At 37.6% G+C, this 8,535-nt stretch overlaps 1 annotated feature.

The window, feature by feature from the left end:
* Positions 3,281-3,805: an enhancer, noted in NCBI's record as "H3K4me1 hESC enhancer chr3:179796465-179796989 (GRCh37/hg19 assembly coordinates)". NCBI's record gives its function as "activates a minimal SCP1, AML or CMV promoter by ChIP-STARR-seq in primed H9 embryonic stem cells {active_cell/tissue: H9 hESC(primed)}" and the evidence as "EXISTENCE:reporter gene assay evidence [ECO:0000049][PMID:30033119]".

The following is an 8,535-nucleotide window of genomic DNA, read 5'->3' on the forward strand; positions in this document are numbered from 1 at the left end:
ATGCAGAATAATGAACCTAGACCCCCATCTCTCACTCTATACAAAAATCAAATGAAAATAGATTAAAGACTTAAATCTAATACCTCAAACTATGAAACTACTATAAGAAATCACTGGCAGAAATCTTCAGTACGTTGGTCTGAACAAAGATTTCTTGAGTTATACCTCACAAGCACAGGCTACCAAAGCAAAACTGGACAAATGGGATCACATCAAGTGGAAAAGCTTCTGCACAGTAAAGGAAACAATCAACAAAGTGAAGAGACAACCCACAAAATGAGAGAAAATATTTGCAAACTACCCTTCTGACAAAGGATCAATAACCAGAATATGTAAGGAGTTCAAATAACTCTATAGAAAAAAAACTGATAATCTAATCAAAAAACGGACAAAAGATTTAGATAGACATTTCTCCAAAGAAGGCATACAAATGGCAAACAGATATATGAAAAAGTTCCCAACATTACTGATCATCAGAGAAATACAAGTCAAAACCACAATGAGATATTATCAAGTTATAATGGCTTATATCCAGAGACAGCCAATTACCAATGCTGATGAGGATGTGGAGAAAAGGGAGCCCTTGCACACTGTTGGTGGGAATGTAAATTAGTGCAACCACTATGGATAACAGTTTGGAGATTCCTCAAAAAATAAAAATAAAAATAGATCCATATGATCCAACCATCTCATTATTGAGTATATATCTAAAAGAAAGGAAATCAGTATATTGAAGGGATATCTGCACTCTAATGTTTGTTACAGCACTGTTCACAACAGCCCAGATTTGGAAATAATCTAAGTGTCCATCAACAGATGAATGGATAAAGAAAATCTGATACATATACACAATGGAATACTATTCAGCCACAAAAAGAATAAGATCCTGTCATTTGCAACAATATGAATGGAACTGAAGGTTATTGTGTTAAGTGAAATAAGCCAGGCACATAAAGACAAACATCACATATTCTTACCTATTTGTGGGATCTAAAGATAAAAATGATTGGAATTATGAAGACAGACATTAGGAGGTTTGTTCCTAGAGCCTGGGAAGGATAGTCGGGGGGTGTGGGGGGAGGTGGTGATGGTTAATGAATACAAAAATATAGTTAGAAAGAATAAATAAAACCTACTATTTGATAGCACAACAGGGTGACTATAGTCAATAATAATTTCATTGTACATTTAAAAATAACTAAAAGAGTATAATTGGATTGTTTGTAACCCAAAGGATAAATGCTTGAGAAGGTGGATACCCCATTCTCCATGATGTGATTATTACTCATTACATGACTGTATCAACCATCTCATGTATCCCATAAATATATATACCTACTACGTATTTACAAAAATAAAAAATTATGAAAAGAAAAAAATATCCTGCCATGCAAGGGGAACTACATTACCAGAGTCTTACCTGATGTAGGGGAGGGGCAATTGGCCAGATCTAGCCCTCTCTATCCTCCCTGCTACAGATAAGAGGACAAGGGGGAAGAAAAAAGACTAGTCCCTGAGAAAACTTAACACCAAGAAAAGACAGCTCTCATTCAGTATTAACAGGTGATTAGTTCCTAGAACCTTTTCACCTGTGGATACCAAAATCCAGGGACACTTGAGTTCTTCAAAATATAAAATTGTATGGTATTTGCATATAACCTACGTACTTCTTCCTGTATATTTTAAATCATTTCTAGATTACTTACAATACTGAACACAATGTAAATGCTACGTAAATATAGTTGTTATACTGTATTTCTCCTTGAGATAAATCTTGCTATGTTGCCTAGGTTAGCCTTGGACTCCTGGGCTCAAGTTTTCCTCCTGCCTTTGGGTCCTGAGTAGCTGGAACTGTAGTCATATGCCACTGCATCTGGCTTGTTTATAAATTTGTATTATTTTAAATTATTTTGAATATTTCAATTGAAAATTGGTTGACTCTACAGATACAGAACCTGTGACTACAGAGGGCCAACTGTACTGCTGAAGGTCACAGCCCAGGAACCCAAGCTGAACACCAAAAATGAGATCTTATCATAAGATTATAGAAAGCTTCTCATCAATAACACTTTACTATCTGTATTAGTCTATTCTCACATTGCTATAAAGAAGTACCTGAGACTGGGTAATTTATAAAGAACAGAAGTTTAATTGACTTACACTTCTACAGGCTGTACAGGAAGCATGGCTGAGAGGCCTCAGGAAACTTACAATCATGGTGGAAGGGTGGAGGCAAAGCAAGCATGTCTTCACATGGTGGCAGGAGAGAGAGAGAGAGAGAGAGACAGAGAGAGACAGAGAGAGACAGAGACCAAGAGAGCAAAGGGGCAAGTGCTACACACTTTCAAACAACCAGATCTCATAAGAACTCTATTTTGAGAACTCCAAGGGGGAATTCCGCCCCCATGATTCTATCACCTCCCACCAGCCCCCTCCTTCAACACTAGGAATTACAATTTGACATAAGATTTGGGTGGGGTCACAGAGCCAAACCATATCATTCCACCCCGGCCCCTCCCAAATCTCATGTACCTCTCACATTTCAAAACACAATCATGCCTTCCCAACAGTCTCCTAAAGTCTTAAGTTGTTCTATCATTAACTCAAAAGTCCAAGTCCAAAGTCTCATTTGAGACAAGGCAAGTCCCTTCTGCCAATGAATCTGTAAAATCAAAAACAAGTTGGTTACTTCCAAGATACAATGAGGGTATAGGCACTAGGTAAGACCAAAAGGGAGAAATTGGCCAAAACAAAGAGGCTACAGGTGCCATGCAAGTCTGAAACCTGGCAGGGCAGTTATTAAATCTTAGAGCTCCAAAATAATCTCCTTTGACTCCATGTCTCACATCCAAGTCACATTGACACAAAGGGTGGGCAGCTTCACCCCTGCAGCTCTGCAGGGTACAGCCTTCGTGACTGCTTTCATGGGCTGGTGTTGAGTGCCTGCAGCTTTTTCAGGTGCACATTGCAAGATGTCAGTGGATCTACTATTCTGGGATCTGAAGGATGCTAGCCCTCTTCTCATAGCTCCACTAGGCAGGCCCCAGTGGGAAATTGTGTGGGGGCTTCAACCCTCTATTTCCCCTCTGCAGTGCCCTAGAAGAGGTTTTCCACAAGGGCTCTGCCCCTGCAGCAGACTTCTGCCTGTACATCTAGGCATTTCCATACATCCTCTGAAATCTAGGCAGAGGTTCCCACACATCACCTCTTGCCTTTTGCACACCTGCAGGCCCAGCACCACGTGGAAGCTGCCAAGGCTTGGGGCTTTCACCCTCTGAAGTCATGGCCTGAGCTGTACCTTGGCATCTTTTAGCCATGGCTGGAGCTGGAGCAGCTGAGATGCAGGACACCATGTCCTGAGGCTGTGCAGAGCAGCTGAGTCCTGGGCCTGGCCCGTGAAACCATATTTTCCCTCCTAGGCCTCTAGGCCTGTGATGGGAGGGGCTGCTGTGAAGGTCTCTGAAATGCCCTGGAGACATTTTCCCCATTGTCTTCACTATTAACATTTGGCTCCTCTTTATTTATGCAAATTTCTTCAGCAAGCTTGACTTTCTCCCCAGGAAATGGGTTTTTCTTTTCTACCACATGGCCAGGCAGCAAATTTTCCAAACTTTTATATTCTGCTTCCATTTTAAATATAAGTTCTCTTTGCTTATGCAAATGAGCTAGGCTTTTAGAGCAACCAGGCCACATCTTGAATGCTTTGCTACTTAGAAATTTCTTCTGCCAGGTACCCTAAATCATCTCTCTTGTGTTCAAAATTTTAGAGATCCCTGGAGCAGGGGCACAATACTGTCAGTCTCTTTGCTAAAGCATAGCAAGTGTGACCTTTGCTCTAGTTCCCAATAAGTTTTTCATCTCCATCTGATACCACCCGGCCTGGACTTCAGTGTTCATATCACTATCAACATTTTGGTCACAATCATTCAACACGTCTCTGGGAAGTTCCAAACTTTCCCACATCTTCCTGTCTTCTTCTGACCCCTCCAAACTGTTCCAGCCTCTGCCTATTACCCAGTTCCAAAGTTGATTTCACATTTTCAGGTATCTTTATAGCAATGCCCCACTTCTCTTATACCAATTTTCTGTATTAGTTCATTCTCACACTGCTATAAAGAAGTACCTGAGACTGGGTAATTTATAAAGAAAAGAGGTTTGACTCACACTTCCACATGCTGTACTGGAAGCATGGCTGGGAGGCCTCAGGAAACTTAGAATCATGGTGGAAGGGTGGAGGGGAAGCAAGTATGTCTTCACATGGTGGCAGAAAAGAGAGAGAGCATGAAGAGGAAAGTGCTACACACTTTAAAACAACCATATCTTGTGAGAATTCTATCATGAAAACAGCAAGGGAGAAGTTTACCCTCATAATTCTATCATCTCCCACCAGGCCCCTCCTTCAACATGGGAAATTACAATTCAACATGAGATTTGGGTGGGAACACAGAGCGAACCCATATCACTATCACATCAGCAAAGCTGCAGTATAGTATCAGTGGATTACAATGAAGAGAGGTACAATACACAAACTCAACTTAAGAAGGAATCCTTAGGTAAGCACAAAGACAAGAGGGGAATAAAACACACACACAAAAACTAGAGGCAACTAAAATCTCTGGTATCTACAGCCACAGTAAATAAACATTAAATACAGTGGAGTGCCTAGTTAGATTACCATAAAACCTCACACCAAAAGCCTAATCACCCCTGTTCCTATTACCCAATACATTATGTCTGGCTTTCAACAAAAAGTTACAAGGCATGCTCAAAGCCAAGAAAAAATATAGTCTGAAGAGACAAAGTAAGCATCAGAAATAGACTTAGATATAGCACAGATTTTGGAATTATCAGATGGTGAATTTAAAATAACTATGATTAATATATTAAAGAACTTGAAGAAAAAGTTGACAACATACAAGAACAGGTGAAGAATATAAGCAAAGAGATGGAAACTTTGGGAATTAAAAGAAATGCGAAGAACTAAAATCTTGTAAAAGAAATAAAGAATGCCATTAATGAGCTTATCAGCAGACTAGACATTGCCAAGGCAAGAATAAATAAACTTGAGATATGTTAATAAAAACTTCCCAAACTGAAACGTAAACATCGTTTAAAAAGAACAAATATGAATATCTTAATAAACTAGGAATATTGGAGAACATTTTCAACTTGATTAAAAATAGCTATAAAAAATCTATAACAAATATCATAATGCTGAGACACTCAAAGCTTTCCCACCAAGGAACAACATCCCCTTTTACCACTGCGATTTTAGTATCATACTGGAAGTTTTAGCTAATGCAATAAGACAGGAAACAGAAAAAAAGGTATACAGATTGGGAAGGAAAAAATGAAGCTGTTTGTTCACAATTTTCATGATCATCTATGCAGAAAATTCAATAGTTGAAAAAACACCCAACTCCTAGAAAAAATAAGTGATTATAGCAGGGTTGCGGATTATAAAGTTAATACACACAAGTCAATTGCTTTTCTATATACCAGCAGTGAACAACAAGAATTTGAAATTTAAAAATACAATAGCATTTACATTAGTGCTCCAAAAAATGAAATAACTCGGTAGAAATTTAACAAAATATATATAAGATCTATATTAGGAAAAGTAGAAAAGTCTGCTAAAAGAAATCAAAGAACTAAATAAATGAAGAGATAGTTCATGTTCATAGATAGGAAGACTCAATATTGTCAATAAATCAGTTTTTCCAAACTTGATTTATGGGTTCAATGCAACAGCAATAAAGTCTCAGCAGGTTATTCTGCTGATGCTGACAAACTGATTCTAAATTTTATATGGAGAGGCAAAAAATCCAGAATAGTCAGCACAATATTGAAGGATAACAAAGTTTGAGAATTGACACTACCTAATTTCAAGACTTACCATAAAGCCACAGTAACCAAGACAGTGTGGTACTGATGAAATAATAGACACACAGATCAATGGAACAGAATAGGGAGCTCAAAAATAGACCCACATTAATATAGTCAACTGATCTTTGACAAAGACCCACATAAATATAGTCAACTGACATTTGACAAAGGAGCAAACAACTAGACATTCAAATGCAATGCAATTAAAATAAATGTAGACACAGACTCTCTTAGTTCATTTGTGTCACTATAAAGAAATACCTGAGGCTGGGTAATCTAAAAAAAAAAAAAGTTATTTGGCTCATCTTCCTGCAAACTGTACAAGAAGCCTGTCACCAACATCTGCTTCTGATGAGGTCGTCATGGTGGAAGGTAAAGGGAGCCACTTGTCACATGGTGAGAGAGGAAGCAAGGTGTGTGTGTGGGAGTTTCCAGACTCTTTTTAACAATCAGTTCTTTTGGGAACTAAGCATGAGAACATACCCCCTCAAGAATGGGCACCAAGCCATTCATGAGAGATTTGCCCCCATAACCCAAACACCTCTCAGCAGGCACCACATCAAACAATGGGTATCAAATTTAAACATGAGATGTGGCAGAGTCAAACAAACCATATCCAAACCATAGCACAGATTTTAACCCTTCACAAAAATTGACTCAAAATGCATAATAGACCTAAATATAAAATACAAACTATAAAACTCGGATAATAGACCTAAATATAAACTATAAAACTCTTATGAGATAAAATAGAAGAAAACCTAGATAACCTTGGGGTTGGCAATGACTTTGTTGATACAATACCCTAGACACACTCCGTGAAAGAAAGTATTGATAATCTGGACTTCAATAAAATTAATAATTTCTGCTCTGCAAATGACACTGTTAAGGGACTGAGAAGACAAATCATAGACTAGGAAAAAATAATGCAAAATTTATATCAGATAAAACACACCTTTAAAATATACAAAGAACTCTTAAAACTCAATGGAAACAGGATTCAATTAAAAATTGGGCAAATAACTCACTGAAAACCATATAGATGGCAAATAAGTATATAATAAGATGTTCCACATCATATATTATTAGGAAAATACACGTTAAAGCAACAATGAATAGCACTACACACTTATTAGAATGGCTAACGTCCAGAGTACTGAGAACACCAAATTCTTATGAGGATGTAGAGCAACAGGAACTCTCATTCATTACTGGTAAGAATGCAAAATGATATAGCCACTTTGAAAGATAGTTTGGTGGTTTCTTACAAAACTAAATATACTTTTACCATGTGATCCAGCAACCATGCTCCTTGTTATTTACTCAAAGGAGTTGAAAACTTATGCCCACACAGAAACCCACACACAGATGTTTATAGCAGCTTTACTTATAATTGCCCATATTTGGAAGCAACCTGTATGTCATTTAGGAGCTGAATGAATAAACTGTGTTTTATCCAGACAATGGAACATTATTCAGGAATAAAAATGAATAATTTATCAAGAAATGAAAAGACATAGAAGAAAGTTAAATGCACATTTCTATGTGGAAAAAAAGCCAATCTGAAAGACTGCATACTATATAACACTCTGGAAAGGGTAAATCTATGGAGACGGTAAAAATATCAGTGGTTGCTAAGGGTTACTGGGGAAGGAAAGATGAATAGCCAAAGTATAGAGGATCTTTAGTGCACTGAAACTTCTCTTTATGATATAATGGTGAATACGTGTCACTGTAATTTGTCCATACCTACAGAATATGCAAGACCAAGAGTAAACTTTATGTAAACTATGGACTCTGTCTGGAAATGATGTTTTAATGTAGGTTCATCGACTGTAATAAACAAACCACTTGGGTGGTAGATATGACAACAGGGGAGGCTATACATGTGTGGGTGCAGGGGACATGTGGGAAATCTCTGTACCTTCTGCTCCATTTTGCTGTAGACCTGAAACTATCTAGAGAATAACACCTATTAAAAATATAGAACAGAATATCAATGAACTGTGAAAAAATTACAAAAGGGGTAAAATAGATGCAATGAGAAAATGAATAGAAAAGGGAAGAAAAAGGAATAGAAAAAAAAGTGAAAACATCTGAAAACATTCCAAAATTAATGACAGACATGAAACCACAGTTCCAGGAAGCTCACAGAGTGCCAAGCAAGACAAATATAAAAAAGAGAGAAAAATCAAAACCTAGGCATGTAGTATTCAAACTTTAGAAAATCAAAAACAAAGAGAAACTCTTAAAAGAAGCCAGAACAAAATAAAAACCTTACTCGAGAAGAACAAGTATAAAGGTTACATCATACTTCTAGTCAGGAACCATACAAACAAGATGAGAATGGATATTTAAAGTGTTGAAAGAAAAAAAGAACTACCAGTCTAGAAATCTGTATCCAGAGAAATCATATTTCAAAAGTAAAGGAGAAATAGACTTTCTCAAAGAAAAACTGATGAACCAGTACATCTTCCCTGAAATACTTGTTAGGAGAAGTTCTTCAGAGAGAAGCAAAATGATATGTGTTAGAAACTCAGATCCACATAAAGAAAGGAAGAACATCCGAGAAGGAATAAATAAAGATTGTCGGCTGGGCGCGGTGGCTCATGCCTGTAATCCCAGCACTTTGGGAGGCCGAGGCGGGCG

The sequence above is a fragment of the Homo sapiens genome, chromosome 3 (assembly GCF_000001405.40).
Source record: "Homo sapiens chromosome 3, GRCh38.p14 Primary Assembly".
Lineage (NCBI taxonomy): Eukaryota > Metazoa > Chordata > Mammalia > Primates > Hominidae > Homo > Homo sapiens.